Consider the following 22,642-nt stretch of genomic DNA (forward strand, 5'->3'; position numbering starts at 1 on the left):
CTACCAGCTGGTGTCCTACTTATGTTATAGAAATGTGACAGCAAATGTGATATGAACTCCTTAGAAGCATTTTTATACACATTGCTGGCTTTAATTGTGAATGCTACAGTAACTCTCCTGACTGTTTTTCTTCTTCTGCCTTTAGACAATTACCCAAGGTTAAGATGCAATAAACATGTGCCTATTTTCTATCCAAAATCTCAATCAGATTAAAATGCTTCTCTAAAGACCTGAAAGGCTTATTTGTTTATTTGTATTCATGTAGGATTTGGGGGGATGAAAGAATTGGTGATTAATCAACATATTATTTTCCCAATAAACAGACTATTCTGACAAATGTTTAGTGGCAAATAATAGCAACAGCAATAATGGCAACAATAAACTTAGAACAGAAATGGATTTATTTTTATTTATTTATTTTTTACCAGCTCTTTCTCTTTCACTCGCTTCTGCATGTTGAGATTTCTCACACATGCAACCTAGATCTTCTTGTCTTCTTTATATTCTTTCTCCAAAGGAATCTCATTCACTGTTGTGCCTTTAAATAGCAAGCTTCAGGTGACCCCCACATTTCTATCTCCAAATTGACATATCCAAATGCCTACTACTCATCTCCCCTCTGATGTCTTATAGACATTCACATTTAATAGCATATTGTATTGAGTCTAAGGAGCCATTAATTGTAAGTCACATTTATGTCCACTAAGATTAAAAAATACTGCCAACTGAACTATGACAAAATGCTGATATCCTTGATTCTAAGATACATCTTGATTTCAGAGACTTTAAAAATAGGCTTAAAAAATAATGTGATTTACTAGAATAGCACCAAAAAGAATAAAATACTTAGGAATTAACTTACCAAGAGAAGTGCAAAACTTGTATTCTAAACTCTAAATAACATTGTTGAAAGAAATTAAAGACCTAAATAAATGGAAAGGTATCTTATGTTCATGGATCAGAACACTTTGTAAAGATGGCAGTAATTCCCAAGTTGATCCACAGATTCGGTGCAACCCCTATCAAAATCCTGTCTGGTATCTTTACATAAGCTTATTCTAAAATTTATATGGAAATTCAAGGAGCCCAGAATAGCCAAAACAACCTTGAAAAAAGAATAAAATTGGAAGATTCACATTTCCCAATTTAAAAACTTATTACAAAGCTATAGTAATTAAAACAGTGTGGTACTGGAATAAGATTAGACATATAAATCAATGAGGTAGGATTGAGAGTCTAAAAATAAACCTTCATATGTATAGTCAATTGATTTTCAACACAGGCACCAAACAAATTCAATGGGGCAAGGAGTCTTCAGCAAATATTACTGGGATAGCTAGATATCCACATGTAAAAGAATAAAGTTGAATCCTATCCTCATACCATATACAAAAATTAACTCAAAATGGATAGAAGACCTAAATGTAAGTGCTAAAACATAAAAGTCCTAGGAGAAAACATAGGAGTAAATATGTATGACCACGGGTTAAAAAAGCTTTTTTTTTTTTTTTTTTTTTTTTTTGAGACAGAGCCTTGCTTTGTCGCCATGCTGGGGTGCAGTGGCGCAATCTTGGCTCACTGCAACCTCCACCTCCCGGGTTCAAGAGATTCTCCTGCCTCAGCCTCCCGAGTAGCTGGGACTACAGGCACACGCCACCATGCCCAGCTAATTTTTGTATTTTTAGTAGAGATGGGGTTTCACCATGTTGGCCAGGATGGTCTTGATCTGTTGACCTCGTGATTCACCTCAGGTGATCCACCTGCATCAGCCTCCCAAAGTGCTGGGATTATAGGCATGAGCCACTGTGCCAGGCCAAAAAAGGCTTTTTAAGGTATGACATCAAAAGCATTAGTGACAAAAGAAAAAAAACAGATAAATTGAACTTCATCAAAATTAAGATACTTTGTGCTTCAAAAGATGCCATTAAAAAAAAAAAAGACCACCTACAGAATGGGAGAATATGTTTGCAAATTATATATCTGATAAATGACTTCTATCTAGAATATATAAAGAATGCTTACAACTTCATACTAAGAAAGCAAATACCCAATTAAAAAATAGGTGACGGATCTGATTAGCTACTTCTCCAAACAAGATGCCCAAATGGCTAATAAGCACATGAAAAAATGCTCACCATTCTTAGTCATCAAAGAATGCAAATCAAAATATGAGATAGTATTATACTTCACACGCACTGGGATGGCTGTAATCGAAAAGACAGATGATAACAAGTATTGGAGAGGAGGTGAAGAATTTAGAAACAGTCTGGTGGTTTTCCAAAAGATAAACATAGAGTCATCATATAACCTAACAATTCCAATCCTAGATATATATCCAAGAGCAATGAGAACATACGTTCACACAAAAGTTTGTACATTTTAAGCAGCATTATTCATAATAGCCAAAAAGTAGAAACAACCCAAATATTCAGCAGGTGATGAACTGAGAAACTGTGGTATGGCCATAAAATGAAATATTATTTGGCCATAAAAAGGAATGAGGTTCTGATACATGCCTCAACTTGGATGAACCTTGAAAACGTTATGCTAAGTGAAAGGAGGTCCTTCCTTGAGCCCCCATCTGAATGAGGAGTCCTTGTACTTTTCATCCTTTGAATTTATCATGCAATATTATGTATTGTTTCATGAAATGTTTTACATATATATGTATATATAATGTATATGTGTATATATAATGTATATGTGTATATATATAAATTTGTAGAATTTCTCCTTTCCATTTGATTCCTAAAACAATAACCTGTAACACCTGTGCTGTACTTACTATCTACCAGGCACTGTTATATATGCTTTATATATTTTGATTCATTTAACCTTCTCAACAACTCTTATGTAGCTGAGGTACAAAATGGCTAAGTTATCTAAGATTACACAGCTAGTAAGTAGAAAAGCTAAGATTTGGCTCCTGGCAGTCTTTTTCCTGAGGCTGAGCCGTGGTCCTGTGTATACTATAAGGGTGGTTCTGTATCTGTTCTTTTTATCCCTGTGTAGCCTGTATTTAGCATAGCATCTGGCATGATGTAGGTACCCAATAAATATTTGTTGAATGAATGTAAGTCTGAATGATTCCTTTAAACTCGGTTAGGAGACCTCCTAGGTATCACAGATTATGATGTACTTCCCTAAAAATAGCACTTATCTCACTGTGTTGTACTTGCCTGTTTATCCATAGAAGATGAGCTCCCTCAGGTCCTGAGTTATGTCTTGTTAACCAGCATCTAGTACAGTGCCTGGCACCTAGCAGGTAGTTAATAAGTATCTGTAAATGGATGAAATAAGAGAGTGGATTGTGAATGAAATTACAAGTATCAGTGACAATCCGTGAGGCCAGTATTTGAAAATGATTACCCCTGCCATCCAGTTAAAGATAGAGGCTTGAACACATGCATTTACCTCTACCCTTTGTTGGAATCCCACTAAAAATAATGGTAAAGGAGTTTATAAGAAAGCATAAACTCCTTTACCATTGAAGAAAAGAAAACAGAAGAGAAGAATGTAGCAGAATTTTGGAAGCTGCAAAGTAAGTAAACAAGTGGTAACTGATTTAGGAGAGAAGAGGGTTTCTGGACTGAAGGGGCAGCAAGCATGAGTGGGGGTAGCAAAACAGAGGACTAAATGAAAATTTAAGTTGAATGTTGAGAGACACTTCACCATCTCAGCTCTGAGAATGGAAACAGACAATCTTATACCTCCAGCCAGAAAACTGAAAGAGTTTTCTTGGGGATTAGAACCCAACTCAATGGAAATACCTAAAGATACTGATACTTGGGATTGCCCAATAAGACAGCACAGCCAGGTAATCCTGCAACAAATCCCATGTTTGAAAAGTGGCACCTGCATGTATCAGTCTTCCAATCAGATGTCTAGTGCCCTGTTCTTAAATGTGAGCACACAGCCAAGGATAACCAAACATTTGAGGAAAACCTCTTATATGAAACACAGAGTCCCCAAAGTTGCAGAGAAAAAAGCAAGAGAAAACAAACTATGCTGGGAGAAGAAAACTTCAAGAGAACCATCAGAGGGACACGAACTCACAGAGATGATAACATGGTGTGTCCTGGAAGCTATTTTAAAATAAAGGAACAATGAGAGAAAACAACTACAAAAAAGATACTGGAAAAGTTTATCTCATCTGTCTGTCTGTCTGTCTGTCTATCTAACTACCTACCTACCTATCTGCTAGTAGAAATGGAAACTCAAGAAAGGGTGGAAGGTAAAATTAAGAAAATATCCTAGAAAGTTGGCTCTTGAACAACATGGGTTTGAACTGTGTGGGTGCACTTATACGTGGATTTCCTACTGCGTCTGCCATCCCTCAGACAACAAGATCAATCCCTGCTCTTTTTCCTCCATCTCAGCCTACTTAATATGAAGATCATGAGGATAAAAACCTTTATGATGATCCACTTTCACTTAATGAATATTAAATATATTTTCTCTTGCTTACGATTTTATTAATAATATTCTTTTCTCTAGTTTGCTGTATTGTAAAAAATAGTTGTATAACACATATACAAGATATATGTTCATTGAGTATGTACATTATTAGTAAGGCTTCAGGTCAATGGTAGGCTATTAGTAGTTAAGTTTCTGGGGAGTCAAAAGTTACATGTAGGTTTTTGACTTTGTGGGGAGATTGGTGCCCCTAATCCTTGTATCATTGATGGTTCAACTGTAGAATGAAAAGACAAAGAGTTAGAAAATATGAAAGAAAAGACAATAGAATTAAAGGGTAATTTCAGGAGACCCAATATTCAACTAATAGAAATTCCAGAACAGAAAAACTAAGAGGAAATTATTTTTTAAAGAGCTATTAATAACCGAATTGCCAGCTGAAGGCCCCCAAAGAGTGCTAGTACACTGGATGGGTAAAACCCACACCAAGGCACATCTAAATGAAATTTCAGAACACTAGCAATAAAGGGGATAGCCTATAAGCTTCCAGAGAGGAAAAAATAAATTAGTTTCATTGAAGAATTAAAAACCAGAATGTTACTGGTTTTCTCAACAGCAATATTGAAAATTAGAAAACAGTAGAGAAAGATATACAAGGTATCACACTATTTACCTCCTGGTCACCCTTCCTCACTGAACTTATTGAAGGATATGGGCCACCAAAGTGAGGGAGTAAAGGAAGTGGATGATGTGGGCTCCATCGCAAGAGAGAGATGAAGGAAATATGCAAGAAGAGAATGAAGGTCCCAAGATGGCAGCCCAGAGAAGCCTAAAGACTAACCAGTATAGTTTTTGCTGAAGAAATTTCAAGTAAATGAAATTTATAGGATACCTCCTGAGTATGAATTTATGGAGAGCTTTTATAACTTGGATCGAATTTGTAATAAGAACCTTTAAAAAAGCAAAGCATAAACAAAACAATTATCAGCTACTGGGAAGATTAAATGTTGTGAAAGAAATACAAGTTAATGATAGTGTATTACATGGCTCAGCAGTGACTAGCATTTACATAATGATGTAAATATGAATCAAACCACAGTTCTAAATGCCAATATAACTTTATTGGGAGGATAGGGAAATGAGAGGTTTTATGTGTGGTGGGGACAAGTGGTGGGGGTTGGGGAAGTGAAAGAAAGGTAAATTCTATCTGCCATAGTGGAAAGTCCACAGACAATGCCTAAGACTGGGGGAAAATTTCAAGAAATAGTAGTGTGAGAATGTTATTTAGAAGTATGTAGATAAAGATCAAAAGACTTAACTAAAAGGAATTTTAAGTAGCTGTTGCTGAGAAGAGGGAATTTGGCAAGAAACAAACTGTTTTTCATAACTAGTGCTATAGGACTAGTTGAATTTTTAAACTGTGCATTTTTACTGTGATAACACAAACTAAATTAAACAAAATGATTTTTTTATTTCTAATAATGTTCTAACCATGTTTGTTTCTAGGCAATATGTGTGACTTCACAGTCCTCTGTACTTCAGAAAGGTGGATGATTAAGTCCAGGTATTATAATAAGTGCAGATATTGTTAGCACCCTTGGCGTCTCTTTGCAATTAGAGTCTCTACTTTTCATTCCAGGTAAGGACATGCCTTTATGTTTAACCATTCCATTTTTTGAGTTCTCTACATACCATTCTAATAGTTAGGCACTCAGGCAGCTGAACAAACTACGGAGGAAGGAGCATCCAAATTAAATGTGCCCATCCTTTCTGTCTTTCCATCATTACTCTTGAGCAGGGGGCAAAAACAAACACGCAAATCAAGAATGGAGTGATTCATTCTTCTTCAGGTAGGAATTCATACAGGTGTCTTTTGGGTGAGGGCTTTTGCCTTGATCTTAAGCATAACACTCTCTTGATTTGATGGATGGCTTTGATTTTTTCTGAAATCTATTGACTGCATTGGTGATAACAGGATGACCTCACACAGAGAAATCTGTCCTGAGAATGGCTTCTGTAGTTTTTCCTAACTTCTGATGATTCGTATAGATATTTTTATAATGTCTCCACTTTGAACCATTACTTTGAAGGAGAGAAGACAATAAAAAAGAGAGAAAGTTTAGTTAGACTCTAAAATGTAACCACTTTTTGGCCAATTAATACTTTTTGTCTATTAATACTTTTAATTACATGCTTAATTATATTCTATATTTGATTTCAATAGTAGTTAAGCCATTCAGGCTCAGAAGAATTTTTAATGACAGATTACTCAGATATAAAATAAAAGAGTTAATCTGAGTGACTTCCAAGACCCCTTCTAGTGCTTGAACTTCTATGATTGATGGCTCAACAGGAACTTCAGGTTTTTTAAAAAAGAACTTTATTTATGAAAGGCAGAATCAAAATCATTCAAAACTCCATCTGTATGAAAATTTGAAACCAAGGCAGTTTACTATTTACATAGAAAATAAAAATGAAATTTCTATGTTTTATAAAGGAAGACTAAGTGATTGAGGAATAAATAGAAAATAGCATGAACTAAGGGGAAATACTTGTTGAAACTTCTGTGACTGTGTTAATCATGTTTTTTATTTTCTGTATCTTATGATGTTTTGACATTTGGGCAGGTCATACAGCCTTGGGGACAGACTGCTCCTCCCAGGGCTAGCTAATTCCTGAAGGAAATAACAACTTACCTAGGAATATACATTTCATATGCAATCTCAAGTCTATATCCAAAACTGCCTGCTCTGTCTAACTCTCACACACCAAGCCAATATTTTACCCTGCCCTAATGCATTCCCAGACCAGATACCAGGCAACTAGAGACCACCCATGTAGGCCAAAGCCCACTGAAGTTATTTAAACTTGCTAGCTCTAAGCTGTTTACTCCATCCTGCCTTGAAATTCTCCTGGAACCTCCCAAAAAGGCTCTGGCCTAGGCTTTCCTCTTGCTCCTGCTTATGCCTCCTAACCAAACTTAGTGCTTCCCATGTGGCTCTGTGTGGCATGGCATGCCCCCTTCTCCCAGGACTTGTAAGTAATAAATTATTCTTTCGATGGCATTGGTCTTTCTATGTCATCACTCAGTCACCTCTATAAATTAAAATCCATGGGTAAAATGAGATAGTGACCTACACTTAGTTTTTGTTGTCTGTGTAAACTGGGGGGGAATTCCCTGTTTTTCATGATCCTTACAGCCATAGTTGGTTGTTTCACTTGCTTGGGACACTTTATAAATCATAATTCTGACCTTTTAACTCAGTTCCTGTGCAGGCCATGTAATTTTGCATGATTACACATCAAACCCCTAGATGGCCTGATGTCTTGGAGTAAATGACTTGTATCCTAACGTTCAAGGTGATAAAGTCATCAGGTGATAAGAAAGTCAATGAATTTCCAGAGAAGGAACTTAAAATGATGATCTTAAAGAAACTCAATGAAATATAAGGAAATACAGATACACAATTCAATGAAATCAGGAAAGGAGTTCACAATATGAATGAGACATTTTAAAAAGAGATAGAAATCATTAAAAAAACCCCAGAAATACTGCAGTTGAAGAATTCAATCAATGAAATAGAAAAATACAATAGATAACTCCAACAGCTGACTTCATGAAGCAAAGGGAAGAATCTCTATGCTTGAAGACAGGTCATTTGAAATTACCCAGTCAGAGAAAAGAAAGAAAAATTAAAAAGAATAAAAAAAGCCTACAAGACTTATAGGACACCATTAAGCAAACAAATATTTGTATTGTAAAAATTTCAGAAGAATAAGAGAAGGGAAAAGGCATATAAAACCTATTTAATGAAATAATAGCTGAAAACTTACCCAGACTGGAGAGAGAGATTGATACCCAGAGCCAGCAGGAAGCTCAAAAATCCCCAGATAGATACACTCAAAAAAGTCCTTCCTGAGGCACATTATAGTCAAATTGTCTAAAGTCAAAGACAAAGGGAGAATTCTAAAACAGCAAGAGAAAAGTGTCAAATCACATGTAAGGGAATCCCCATTAGACTAACAGTAGGTTTATTCACAGAAACCTTATAGAACAGGAGAGAATGAGATGATATATTCAAAAGTGCTGAAAGAAAAAAAAAAGGCAGCCAGGAATACTATACCCAGCAAAGCTATCATCCAGAGATGAAGGAGAAATAGCCTTTTCCAGACAAGCGAAAACTGAGGAAATTCATCACCAGGAGACTGGTCTTTCAAGAAATGCCCAAGAGAGTCCTACATCTGGAAGCAAAAAGATAGTCATCACTATCATGGAAATATACAAAAGTTATAAAACTCACTGGTAAAACATATACACAAAGGAAAAAGAGAAAAGAATCAAACCTTGTAACCATAGAAAACCACAATGACAAACAATAGGGAAGAAAGGAACAAAATAATTAGAAAATAATTAACAAAATGACAGGAATAAATCCTTTCCTATCTAGAATAATCTTGAATGTAAATGGATTAAATTACCCAGGTAAAGGTATAGACTGGCCAAATGGATTTTTTTAAATGAACTATTATTTGCTGCCTACAAGAAACTCGCTTTTTCTGCAAAGACACATATAGACTGAATGTGAAGGGATGTAAAAATGTATTCTACACAACTAGAAACCAAAAGTGATCAGGAGTAGTTATATGAGATAGAATAGACTTTAAGTCAAAAACTGTGAAAAGAGACAATGGTCATTATATAATGATAAAGGGATCAATTCAGCAAGATGATATAACAATCCTAAACATGTATATACCCAGATATATAAAGCAAATATTATTAGATCTGAAGAGAGAGATAGACTTTAATATGCTAATAGTTAGGGACTTTAACACCTCATTCTCAGCATTGGACAGATCATCTAAACAGAAAATTAATAAAGAAACTTTGGATTTAAATTTCACTTTAGACCAAATGGACCTAACAGACATTTCCAGAACATTTCATCCAATAGCTGCAGATTATGAGCTTCTTCTCATTAACATAGGGCACATTCTCCAAGATAGACCACGTGTTAGGCCAAAAACCAAGTCTCAACAAATTTAACATAATTTAAATAATGTAAAGTATCTTTTCTGGCCACAGTGGGACAAAACTAGAAATCAATAACAAGGGAATCTTTCAAAATTATAAAAATACCTGGAAATTAAGCAATATGCTCCTGAAATACCTATGGGTCAATGAAGAAAATAGAAGACAATTGAAAAAATTTCTTGAAGCAAATTAAAATAGAAACACAACATACCAAAACCTTTGGGATACAGCAAAAGCAATATTAACAGTGAAGTTTATGGCAATAAATGCCTACATCAAAAAATCTTAGAAAAATCTTAGAATGATTTCAAACCAGCAACCTAACAGTGCATCTCAAAGAGCTAGAAGAGCAAAAACAAGCCAAACCCAAAATTAATAGAGGGAAGAATAAGGATTAGAGCAGGAATAAGCAAAATTATTATTTAAAAATATAAAAGATCGACAAAATAGAAGTTAGTTTGTTGAAAAGACAAACAAAATAGAAAAACCATTAGCTAGACTAACCAAGAAAAAGGAAGAAATATCCAAATAAATACAATCAGAAGTGAAAAACGACACATTACAAATACACATAAACACAAAGGGTCACTTAATCTATTATGAATAACTATACACTAACAAATTAGAAAATGTCACAGAAATGGATAAATTCCTAGATACATATACTAAGATTGAACCAAGAAGAAATAGAAAACCTGAACAGATGAATTATAACAAGACTGAATCTGTAATATATAGACTCCCATCAAACAGAATTCCAAGACCCAATGGCTTCACTGTGAAATTCTACCAAACATTTAAAGCAAAACTCATACAAATTATTCTCAAACCTTTCCAGAAATTTGAAGGCATGGGAATTCTTTCAAACCCATGCCATGAGGCCATCATTACTCTGATACCAAAACAAGATAAGGACAAAAAAAAAATAGGCCAATATCCCTGATGCACATAGACACAAAAATCCTCAACAAAATACTAGCAAACCAAATCCAGCAGCACATTAAAAAGATCATTCATTATGATGAAGTAAGATCTCAGGAAGGCAAGGATGATTCAATATATGCAAATTAATAAATATGATATGTCACATGAACAGAATTCAGTACAAAATCCATATAATCATCTCAACAGTCACAGACAAAGCATTTGATAAAATTCAACATCTCTTCATGATAAAAACTCTCAACAAGTATACAAGAAATGTATCTCAACACAATAAAGGCTATATATGACAAACCCATAAACAATGTCATAGTCAATCAAGGATGATTCAATATATGTGAATTAATAAATATGATATGTCACATGAACAGAACTAAGTACAAAACCCATATAATCATCTCAATAGTTACAGAAAAAGCATTTGATAAAATTGAACATCTCTTCATGATAAAAATTCTCAGCAAGTTAAGTATAGAAGAAATGTATCTCAACACAATAAAGGCTATATACAACGAACCCATAAACAATGTCATAGTGAATGAGGCACAGTTCACAGGTTTTCCTCTAAGATCTGGAACAAGACAAGAATGCCCACTTTCACCACTTTTATTCAACATAATACTAGAAATCCTAGCCAGATCAATTAGCCAAGAGAAAGAAATAAAGGGCATCCAAATTGGAAAGGAGGAAGTTGTCTGTTTGCAGACAATATGATCTTATATATTAAAAAAAAACTTTAAAACTTCACCAACAAAACCTTTCTTAGAACTGATAAACAAATTTAAAAAAGCTAAAGCATACAAAATCAACATAGAAAAATCAGTAGTCAGCAGTGTTTCCATACACTAACAACAAACTAGAGGAAAACAATCAAGAAAGCAATCCTATTTGCAATAGCTATAAAAAATTTAAAATACCCAGGAATAAATGTAACCAAGGAGGTGAAAGACCTCTACAAGGAAAACTACAAAACACTGATGAAAGAAATTGAAAGGGACACAAAAATATGAAAGACATCCCATGTCATGGACTGAAAGAATTAAGATTGAGGAAATGGCCATAATACCAAAAGCAATCTACAGATTCAAAGCAATCTTTATCAAAATACCAATGACATTCTTCACAGAAATAGAAATAATCCTAAAATTCATATGCAACCACAAAAGACTCTGAACAGCTAAGGCAATCTTGATTAAAAAAAAACGAAAAACAAAAACAAAGCTGGAGGCATCACACTACCTGATGTCAAAATATACTACAAAGCTATAGTAACCAAAACAGCATGGTACTGACATAAATAGACTCATAGACCAACAGAACAGAATAGAGAACCCAGAAATAAATTCACGTATTTACAACCAACAGATTTTCAACAAAGGCACTAAGAAGATTCACTGGGTAAGGGACAGTCTTTTCAGTAAATGGTGATGGGAAAACTGGATATCCATATGCAAAAAAATGAATCTAGACTCCTATCCCTCACCATATACAAAAAATCTATTCAAAGTGGATTAAAGACTTAAAAGTAAGACCCCAGAATTATCAAACTACTAGAAAAAAACACAGGGAAAATGCTTTAGGAAATTGGTCTGGGCAAAGACTTTATGGAGAAGACTGGCAACAAAATAAAAAATAGACAGTTGGGATTATATCAAGCTAAAAACGTTCTGCACAGTAAAGGAAACAATCAAGAGAGTGAAGAGACAACCTGCAAAATGAGGGAAAATATTTGCAAACTGTTCATCCAACAATGGATGAATGTCCAGAATACACAGGGAACTCAAACAACTCAATAGCAAATGATGATGATGATGATGATGATGATGATGATGATAATTCAATCAAATAGTGGGCAAATGAGCTGAAGAGACATCTCTTAAAGGGAGGCGTACAAATGGCCAACAAGAATATTTAAAAATGCTCAATATCACTAATCATCAGGGAAATACAAATCAAAACCACAGTGAGATATCTTCTCACCCCAGTGAGAATGGCTGGGGTGAGATTATCAAAAAGACAAAAAAAAATGCTGATGAAGATGAAACAAAAAGTGGAGTGATCTCTTATACACTGTTGGTTGAATTGTAAATTAGTACAGCCATTATGGAAAACAGAAAGGAGGTTTCTCAAAAAACTAAAAATAGAACCACCAATGTATATATCCAAAGGAAAGGAAATCAGCAGGTCAAAGAGATATCTGCATTCCCATGTTTATTGCAGATAGCCACAATATGGCATCAACCTAAATGTCCATCAACACATGAATGAATAAAGAAAATGTGATATATATAGATCACATATATATAATGTGAAATAATGGAATATTATTTAGCCATATAAAAGAATGAAATTCTGTCACCCACAGCAATATGAATAAGCTTGGAGGACATTATGTTAAGTGAAATCAGAAAAATAAATACTACATATTCTCACTTGCATGTGGAGGCTAAAAACACTGGTCTGCTAGAAGCAGAGTGTAGAATAGTGGTTACCAGAGGTGGGAAATGGCAGGAGGGAGAGGGAGATAGCCAAAGTTGGTTAATAGATACGAAATACAGCTAGAGAGGACAAATGAGTTCTGGTGTTCTATAGCAATAAAGAGTGACTATAATCAACAACAATTTTCTGTATACATTCAAATCACTAGAAGAGTAGATCTTGAACGTACCCAACACAAAGAAATGATAAATATTTGAGGTGATGTATATGCTAACTACCCTGATTTGATTATTACACATGGTATAGATTTATTGAAATGACACACTGTACCCCACAAATATGTACAATATTATATGTCAATTAAAAATAATAGAAACAAAAAAGCAAAAAACAAAAAATAACAAAAACAAAAAATATTACAACTTTGCTAAGTATCATATATAAAAAATGTATTGTTTATACTCGTCTTATTTCCAAAGTAGATTTGGAGTACCCAATTACTCAAGTGTAAGTTTTATTTGGCTGACATTTTAACTTTTTTTCTTTCATATAATTTCAGAAAGTCAATAAAGAATGTGAATTGGTTAACCTTAAAGAGAGCTATCTTTAGCAGCTTGGAATTTAAAGTACAAATAAATGAAGGATGTCTTTCATAAGCAAATGACGTGTCATTTGGGACAAATGCGATATGATGTGTGGGTTCATCCAACATATGCATCCAACATCAGGATACTGGAGCATACCTGGTGTAGTTATAATTTCCAAGATGGGTGTGTGTGTGTACATATCAACCTTAGTAGTTAATTTCATCACTGACTGGCCTCAGCTGTTCTTATATGTTCATCTTGGCTTTCTGTCAGTGGGGATGAATGGATGGATATATTCAGATCCTTCCTTTGCCTGATCCATCTTCTCACCCATGGCTTACATGTGTCAGATGTTTGGCTTACTTGAATCTGTGATCATGTTAGTGCATTATTATCTGTTCCACTAGAGAGGGAAGAGGTCTCAAGGCCTTGTCTCATTAGCCCTACAGTCGACTCAACTGTCCTAACAAACCACTCAATTCAGGAGATGTGAAATGTTTGCATCAACTGGGCAAATTATGCTAACTCACTGTGGCTCAGTTTCTACATTTGTTCATAGGGAGAATCTAAGCCAACATTTTGTCCACTAGCATATGTTGACCATATATAGGGCTGCCTGCAAGTAGTTGGCTTGTTTCTAAAATAACCCAATGACACTAAAAGCCCAGACTTCACCACTACACAATATATCCATGTAACAAACCTACACTTGTACCCCTATATCTATAAAATAAGTAAATAAAATAACCCAGTTAACTGGAGGGAAAGACAGCATACAATGTTAAAAACAGTTGCGTAGATGAAAAACTATAACTTAGTTGAAAATTGGCTTTTTTAAAAACAACTTTTTCAGTTTGGGGATATTTCAATATTTAATATATCAGTGGCAGATGTACAGATATACTCAGTTCCTTCTGTTGCCTGATTCATCTTTTGACCTATGGCTTACATGTGTCAGATGTTTGGCTCACTAGAAAGAGAAGTAAGTTGAGAGAAATAGGAAAGTGAACTTTTCCTATTTTTGAGTCCAGAGTTTTTGGGGTACATTTTAATCTCTGATTTTTCTTGGTATTTAGTAAAATTCACATTTGTTATAATATGATGAATCCTGAGTACTGTAATTTTCAGACAAACTTCTCTTTTGCAGTTACATTATTGTTGCAATTATGAGAGTAAGTGTATTTTTCATCTGGCACAGCATTTCTTTTTTTCATAATATAAAATGCTTAGCCTGAATTGTGATCCAGAAGTGGCAGAGTTAAAACTTCAGGCCATAAATATGTATTGAAATGCGAATGAAGGTAGCAGATCCAAAATATTGGAAATGCAGCTGAATAAGCATTTAAGGGAGGGTGTGTTCCTGAAAGATACCAATATATCTCGTTGCTGCCTAGCTAGGAAAGGAATGAGTCAACTTGCTGGACGAGTCCAACAGAGACTAACATGAAGCTCTGAAATTGTGAGAGAGTTCTCATGTCCTGTTCCCACAGGATTGCCAAGGAATTTACTTTTCAACGAAACATAAAACGATGCATGAGACCTTAATGTTAGAGCTGGCTTTTGGTCTTAGCACAGTTAGCTTCTGAGAGCAGTTGGCTGCTGTTTTGCATATTCTGGCTGAATATGCTACATGTCCCAGCCCTGACTCCTTTATTGAAAAATCTGTAGAGTGTCCCAGTGCAAGGTCCCATGATGCACCTTGCAGAATTACTATATGGACAGTCATTTCCAACCATCCAAAGATATGATCAGTCTGTTTGCGAAAGGAATTCTGGCTTCACAGATTTTATTTTTTCCCCATTTTTTCCCCATAAACACTGAGTTACAAGTTGTGCATTTCCAGAAATAAAGGCAGAGAAGGGTGCGGGGAAGAGTTTTGTGATGTGTGTGTGGGAGGCGTGAGCAAGGAAGAGTTGGGAACCTGTGGTCGGCCCCCTACCCAGCCCTGGACAGGGCTCCGGCCCCTGCAGTGGGGCCTCTGAGGAAGAGGTGGGCAAGGGTCCAGGGTAGCTGAGGGTTGGAAGAAGCCTCTAAATCCAGCGCTCACCCCCAAAGACCCTCCAATGCATGGTAGCGGTAGAATGGGGAAGCTGAGGAGGCTCAAAAATGGAGCAGCAAAACGTAAAATCAAGTTAGTGGATACAGGAGAAGTGGATCATCATGATAAGGGGATTAAAGAAGGAAAAAGTAGGTTAAGGGAGCAGTGAAAGGTTCTGCCTGAGGCCCTTAGGGAGAGGTGGGGGCCAGCTTGCCTATTAATTTAATATTAAATTGGGGATGGGAGTTAGAGAGGAAAAAGTTATTTCCGGGTATGATTTCTCAGCCTCTTGGCCAGTACAAGAGAGGCCGAGGCCTGGGGAAGGCGGCGGGACCTTCGGGAGCGGGAGTCCTGGGGTCCCTGTAAGTCCAGGCGGAGAGGCTCCTGAGTCCTTCGTCCCCACCACCCCATGCCTCTGACGGTGGAAATGCCAGAGGGCGCTGCTGCTGCGGGAGCAGGAAGCCAGCCTCCGTCCCCCAGCGGCAAACGCCGCGGCCTCACTCGCACCCGGATTGTTGTGGCCCTGCCGCTCCTCCAGTCCCAGTCCTCTCCAGGCCACCGCCCGAATCCCTGTCAGTCCCCCGCGTGGCCTGGGCCCCGCCGGTGCGACTGCGTCTCTGATGTCCCTTGGTAGACCGTGGGGACACCCTCTCCCGCGCTGGAGTAGGAGATGGCAGCGGAGGATGAAACGGTCTGGCAAGAGCCTCCAGCTGTCATGTGTTCCATCAGTCATGTCGTTCATCATCCCAAGCATGTCCACGAAGCCACCCGACGTTTCCAGCATCCCCAAGGGGGAGACAGCCCCAGCCTGCACCCTGCAGCTGTGATGCCATCTGCGATGCCGAGGAAGGGGCTCCAGCCAAAGCCACCTGACAGCAAATGCTGACGGCGAGTAGCAGAGGGGCCCACCAGGAACGCGGGATCTTCGGACTCCATGTCCCTCATGAGACGGGACATCCTGATCCTTGCTCCAGGGGGCTCTACACCGCCCCGGATTCAGGCTCAGTGGCCCATCCGCGGGGTTCGCTTCTTCGCGTGCTGCAGGATCAGGGTCGCGGCCTGGGAAGCAGGGTTGGTCCAGGCTTGGGCTCCTCCGCGTCCCCCGACCCCCAACCCCTGCCCCGTTCCCTTCAGCCTCCTCCCACAGTTGCTTTTCCCGAAGATCCCAACCCCTACTCCTGGACCCCGAGCCCGACTGATTTATTTTTATTTATTTATTTATTTATTTATTTATTTATTTATTTATTTTTAATCATTATCTTTCTCCTTCCAAACAAACAAACGCCAGACAACTGCTGACATTTTCTTAAATCATCCCTGCTTCGTTGCCATCCCAAAGCATCATCATAGAGGGGAACTGTAGAGAGATTGGCGTCGTTCAGTGTGTGGACTAACACGGAATCCCTTTGGAAAATTATAGGAGACAAATAAAGGCCTGCTCAAATGGAATAATCGTGAGATCGATCTTATGTATAAAACATGTTGATTTCTGTGAATAACTCAGTCTAGTCTGCTCATTAGCCTCTTGGTAATGACATTGCAGGGAATTTGTTTTTTCTTTTTCTCATTACGTCATTTACTTCTACTGCTACTTTGAAATTTTCATCATAGCAAGTAAAGCATTTGCTTAAGGTTGAAAGGAAGAGTGTGCCAGGATCTGTTAACAGTGGTGAAGTAAGTGCATTGACCAAGAATTTAGAGGGTTCTGGCTTCTGGGTTCCCTGTGACAGTGGGGGAGGCTGGGATCACTGGAAGACCAATGGGGTAGGAGAGGGGGAAGAAGGATGTACATGATCCATTATGTGAGTGAGAAGCGTTAACTGAAATAATCTCTCACGCAAAAATAAAAGATAACCTCTAAAAGAGAGGAGAATTGTGCAAATGAGCATGGCGAATCATCATCATTTTTTATATAAGCAAATAACTTCAGGCAAAAGTGGGAGTTTAGATTTAGATTACAAGTTTAGTTCTGTGTGCTGTATAGTACATTTCACAAAGTCTGCAAATCTTTTCTATTAATAGAAGCAATAAAATATTTTCCATTATTCACTTAAATCAGAAATGTGAGCATCTTCTGTGATTCCTTTTCTCTGCCACCCTGTGGATTTTACTTAAAACTGCAGTAGTAATGTTCAGAGTTGAATATATCAACTGATGTTTACATTTTTTTATTTATTTTCATTTGAATTTTTTCAAAAGATTGACAGACACAATTAATAAATATTTTTAAAAACCCACCATAGGTTAATAATAAAAATTCCAAGTACATATAGGTATCTTTTAAGACTTTTTTAAAAAATAGTTTTTATCATTAAATTATGTTTTACTTAGGCTCATTTCTTTTTTTTTTCTTTCCTTTTTTTTTTTTTTTTTGAGATGGAGTCTCACTCTGTTGCCCAGGCTGGAGTGCAGTGGTGCCATCTCAGCTCACTGCAACCTCTGCCTCTGGGGTTCAAGTGATTCTCTTGCCTCAGCCTCCCTAGTAGCTGGGACTACAGGTGCCCGCCACCAAGCCTGGCTAATTTTTACATTTTTAGTAGAGACAGAGTTTCACCATGTTGGCCAGGCTGGTCTCGAACTCCTGACCTCAAGTGATCCGCCTGCCTCAGCCTCCCAAAGTGTTGGGATTACAGGCGTGAGCCATCATATCCAGCCTGGCCAATGTTTTAAAACACAAAAATGAAGTTGCAAGGACACAAGAAAGTTGAAAGAATTTTATAGTACATAACCATATACCCACCACCTAGGTTCTACCATTAACATTTTTCTTTGTTTGGTACCATTTGAGGAATTTTGGTCCTCTTTAACCTCCTATAAAATAGAGAACACTAGCATGACCCCAGAAAGTCTTGTCCTCCCCTTTCCCAGTTAATCTCTACCCTTGCCCCACCAGAGGTAACTGCTGTTCTGGTTTCATTCATCATAGGTTGGTTCGTTTGCTCTAGAACTTCACATGAAATAATTCATACAGTGTAAATTCTTTTAGTAAGGCTTCTTTTACTCAGCATGTTTTTTGGTAACAAAACAAAAAATTTATCACTTGATGCCCTCTTTAAGTCATATTTTCTCTGTGTTCTCCTCTTGCCAACCATTATCTTTTTTGACTAATGATGATACTGATCTTTGCCAAGTACTTTCAAATCAGTGTTAAACAAAAAGAAGCAAGTTACAGAAAGATACATATAATCTATATGTAACATTTTAAAGTACAAAATAAGGCCGGGCACTGTGGCTCAAGTCTGTAATCCCAGCACTTTGGGAGGCCGAGGCAGATCACCTGAGGTCAGGAGTTCGAGATCGGCCTGGCCAACATGGTAAAACCCTGTCTCTACTGAAAATACAAAAATTAGCCAGGCATGGTAGCGGGTACCTGTAGTCTCAGCTACTCAAGAGGCTGAGGCAAGGGTATCACTTGAACCCAGGAGGCAGAGGTTGCAGTGAGCTGAGATTGTGCAACTGTACTCCAGCCTAGGCGACAGAAAGAGACTCTGTTTCAAAAAACAAACAAACAAACAACCAAAAAACAACCAAAAAAATAAAATCACACAATGCTTATTTAATTTTCACTTTCAGAGATTATTACTCCCCTTTTCCCCATGACAAAACTGGGGCAATTTGTCTTGATCCATGGAACTGGACACAAATCTGCATTGCTTTTAAGTTTTCGCATTATTTCACTCTTCTACCAAATTTTTATTAGCATAGTGTTTTTGAAATTTGTCCATGCTGTTGTTTATATCAGCTGGTCTTTCCTTTTTATTGCTGAGTAGAATTTCATTCTATGAGCATCTCTGTTTGTTTATCCATTCTCCTACTGATGGACACCAGGCTTTTTCTAGTTTTTAATTATTATGACAAAGTTGCTATGAACATTCTTGTGCAAGTCCTTGTAAGAACATATGTTTTTATTTATCTTGGGTAAATACATAGGAGTGAAATTGCTAGGTCATGTGATAAGTGTGCATTTTATTATCTTATTTTATTTTATTTTTAGAGATGGTCTTGTTCTATTACCCAGGCTGGAGTGCAGTGGTGGGATAATAGCTTACTGCAAACTCAAACTCCTGGGCTCAAGCAATCCTCCCACCTTAGCCTCCCAAATAGCTAAGACTACAGGTGCATGCCACCAAGCCTGGCTAATTTTTTAATTTTAATTTTTGTAGAGATAAGGGTCGTGCTGTATTGCCCAGGCTGGTCTCAAACTCCTGGCCTCAAGTAGTCCTCCTACCTTGGCCTCCCAAAGTGCTGGGATTACATGTATAAGCCACTATGCTCAGCCATACTTCATTTTTAAGCAACTGCCTGACTTTTTCAAAGTGATTGTATCATTTTATATTCCCAACAACAACATGTGAGAATTCTGGTTGCTCCATGTCTTCCCCAGCATGTGATGTGGTCTAGGCCTTCTAATTTTGATAAAGGGATCCCAGGTCTATTTTCTGCTTAGAGAATTGTTTAGTATGTGAATTTTCTTTTACTCAATAGCATAGGCCAAGGGGTTCTAGGTTCTTCTCAGAAGATATGAAACTCTCTGCTACTAAACTCATCAAAAATTTAGTTGTAAGAAATAATTAAAAATAATTCCTTGAGAATATGCAGTTTACTCATTCCTGTTAAGGTCCAAATTTCATCCGTGGACAAAGAACTGAATATTTAGACAGCTTTCATTTACCGCCTCCTTTGTAACTGTTTTTCCTGAGTTCCCCCTTATGTTATACCTTTAGCTTCCTTTGAGCAGCAGTATAAAAAACAGCCACATAAAACTCTGTATTTGCTATAAGAAAGTTAAGAAAAACATAATCTGTTTTATCAAATGGTTCTTCTCTTGCAATTCAGTGTTGGGAACGTATGTGCTTCTTTCTCCTGAGCTACTCATAGTTTTTTGCTTGTTTGTTTGCTTATCTTAGAGACCCTATGACTGATGACTGATCTTTTCTCTCTGTATTTGGTCACTAAGAAGCTTAGAAATTGTGACCTATCAATTTTGCAAGAATTTCTGGCACATTATATATGTTTGTGGCCTCTGGCTTCATTTTATAATGTCATGCTTGGTTTTCTCTTCATCTTCCTCTATCTATCTATCTATCTATCTATCTATCTATCTATCTATCTATCTATCATCTATCTATCTACCTATCTATCTACCTATCTATCTAAGATAATGTCTTGTTATGTTGCCCGGGCTGGCCTCCAACTCCTGGCCCAAGTGATCTTCCTGCCTCAGCCTTTCAAGTTGCTGGGACTACAGATATGTGCCACTATGCCTGGCTTCTTTACTTATTTTGATCCTTATGTATTTTGTAAACTTCCTCAAATAATTCCCAGACTGAGGCTAGTTCGTAAATAAAATAAAATTGGACTGCTAGTTAGATATACTGTTTAAAACATTGATTATTCAGAGAGAATGTGGCTAGTGATACACACACACACACACACGCACACACACACACAAAAAATTGAACATGTTTGGAACAGAGATGAATCATAAAAACAGGTTAAATACCTCATTTCTTTTTTAAAAATTAGGGTAATTAGAATGCTAGGCATTTAATAATAGCAACACTATTCACAATAGTCAAAGGTGGAAATAATCTAAATGTCCATCAGTGGATGAATGAATAAACAAACCGTGGTATACACACATAATAGAATATTATTCAGCCATAAAGACGAATGAAATTTTGATGAATGCTACAACATCGATGAACCTTAAAAACACTATGCTAAATGAAAGAAGCCAGACTCCAAAAGACAATATAGTATGACTCCACTTATATGAGATAGCTAGAAAAGACAAATTCATAGAGACAGAAAGTAGAATAGAAGTTACCAGGTCTGGGAGAGTGTGGAACGGGAGAATTATTGCTTAATGGTTATAGAGTTTCTGTTTGAGATGATGAAGGAGTTTTGGAACTAGATAGTGGTGACAGTTGCGCAACATTGTGAATGTACTTAATGCCACTGAACTGTACACTTTCTTAAAATGGTAAACTTCGTGTTATATGTATATTTCCACAATAAAATTTTAAACAGTTTAAATACCATTCTTTTGTTACTAGGGTCATTAGAGATGCTAGTCTGTTAATGGGTTGTTATTGGTTGTCACCTACTTTTTCCATAAGACATCCTAGTGCTCATGCTAGCCAATTGATATTATCAAGAAGCTCCTATTCTGTTAAAGACCCAATCTTATAATTAAGAGTTACATTTAAGAGCACATGACTAAGGAAGCAGTATTATATAAACTGCAGAGATGACCAGAAATGTGCCACAAGAGCCAAGACACCACAATACTTGTCATGGCTTGGGACTATATGGGTGTCCCACAATGGTCACAGAAAGGAAGGCATAGGGAAAGGCAGGAGCTGACTCCGGTCATCCACTAGGCAGGGTTGATCCTGTGTAAGGGGTCTAGCAATGCCTAACATGGTTCAGAAAAATGGTCTGTCTCAGGAGTCAGAGCTGCGGGACAGGGAATCTAGAAAGAAAATCATGGGAAGAGGCAGACAGAAAGTAAGCATGGGAGGCTGATATATGAGGGGCAAGGTCCCACCCACTGGGCGGGGCACAGGGGTAGGCCTCCACTAGCAGGGCGGAGTTAAGGATCTATGCAGTTTCACAGGTAAAAACTCAGAAATAGGGTGTCTGGGGAAGCTATCAAATGCCTTAATAATATTTATATTCTTGAATCTAATAATTTATTGACAAGGAATTTATTCTATTAATCATTTAATACAAAGATGTAACTAGCCATTAATAGAAATATTTTTATAGCAACAGTGCTCAGAATAATGAAAAATTATGAGTAACTTAAATGCCCAACAATAAAGAAACTCCATACAGCAAAATAACATGTAGCTATTAAAAATGCTGTTGTGGGCCGGGCGCGGTGGCTCACGCCTGTAATCCCAGCACTTTGGAGGCCGAGGCGGATGGATCTCTAGGTCAGGAGTTCCAGACCAGCATGGCCAATATGGTGAAACCCCTTCTCTACTAAAAATACAAAAAAAATTAGCCGGGCATCTGGGCGTGAGCCTGTAATCCCAGCTACTCAGGAGGCTGAGGCAGAAGAATCACTTGAAACCGGGAGGCGGAGGTTGCAGTGAGCTGAGACCGCACCATTGCACTCCAGCCTGGGTTACAAACGCGAAACTCCGTCTAATAATAATAATAATAATAATAATA

The 22,642-nt window shown here is 37.2% G+C and overlaps 1 long non-coding RNA gene and 1 pseudogene across 2 annotated transcripts in view, besides 1 other annotated feature; one reads left to right on the top strand and one right to left on the bottom strand.

The window, feature by feature from the left end:
• The first annotated feature begins 5,599 nt into the window (after positions 1 to 5,599).
• Positions 5,600 to 22,642, top strand: part of LOC107984005 (uncharacterized) — a 79,776-nt gene continuing 62,733 nt past the window's right edge. For both annotated transcript variants that reach the window (XR_928468.3, XR_928469.2), the window contains exon 1: positions 5,600 to 6,266. This is a non-coding gene — a long non-coding RNA (uncharacterized LOC107984005). The remainder of the gene's footprint in view (positions 6,267 to 22,642) is intronic.
• Positions 14,662 to 14,956: an enhancer, noted in NCBI's record as "tiled region #4487; K562 Activating DNase matched - State 5:Enh". NCBI's record gives its function as "activates a minimal TATA promoter and a strong SV40 promoter by Sharpr-MPRA in K562 cells {active_cell/tissue: K562}" and the evidence as "EXISTENCE:reporter gene assay evidence [ECO:0000049][PMID:27701403]".
• On the bottom strand, positions 15,782 to 16,414 carry LOC100419977 (myeloid leukemia factor 2 pseudogene; annotated as a pseudogene).

Source organism: Homo sapiens, chromosome 8 (assembly GCF_000001405.40).
Source record: "Homo sapiens chromosome 8, GRCh38.p14 Primary Assembly".
Taxonomy (NCBI): domain Eukaryota; kingdom Metazoa; phylum Chordata; class Mammalia; order Primates; family Hominidae; genus Homo; species Homo sapiens.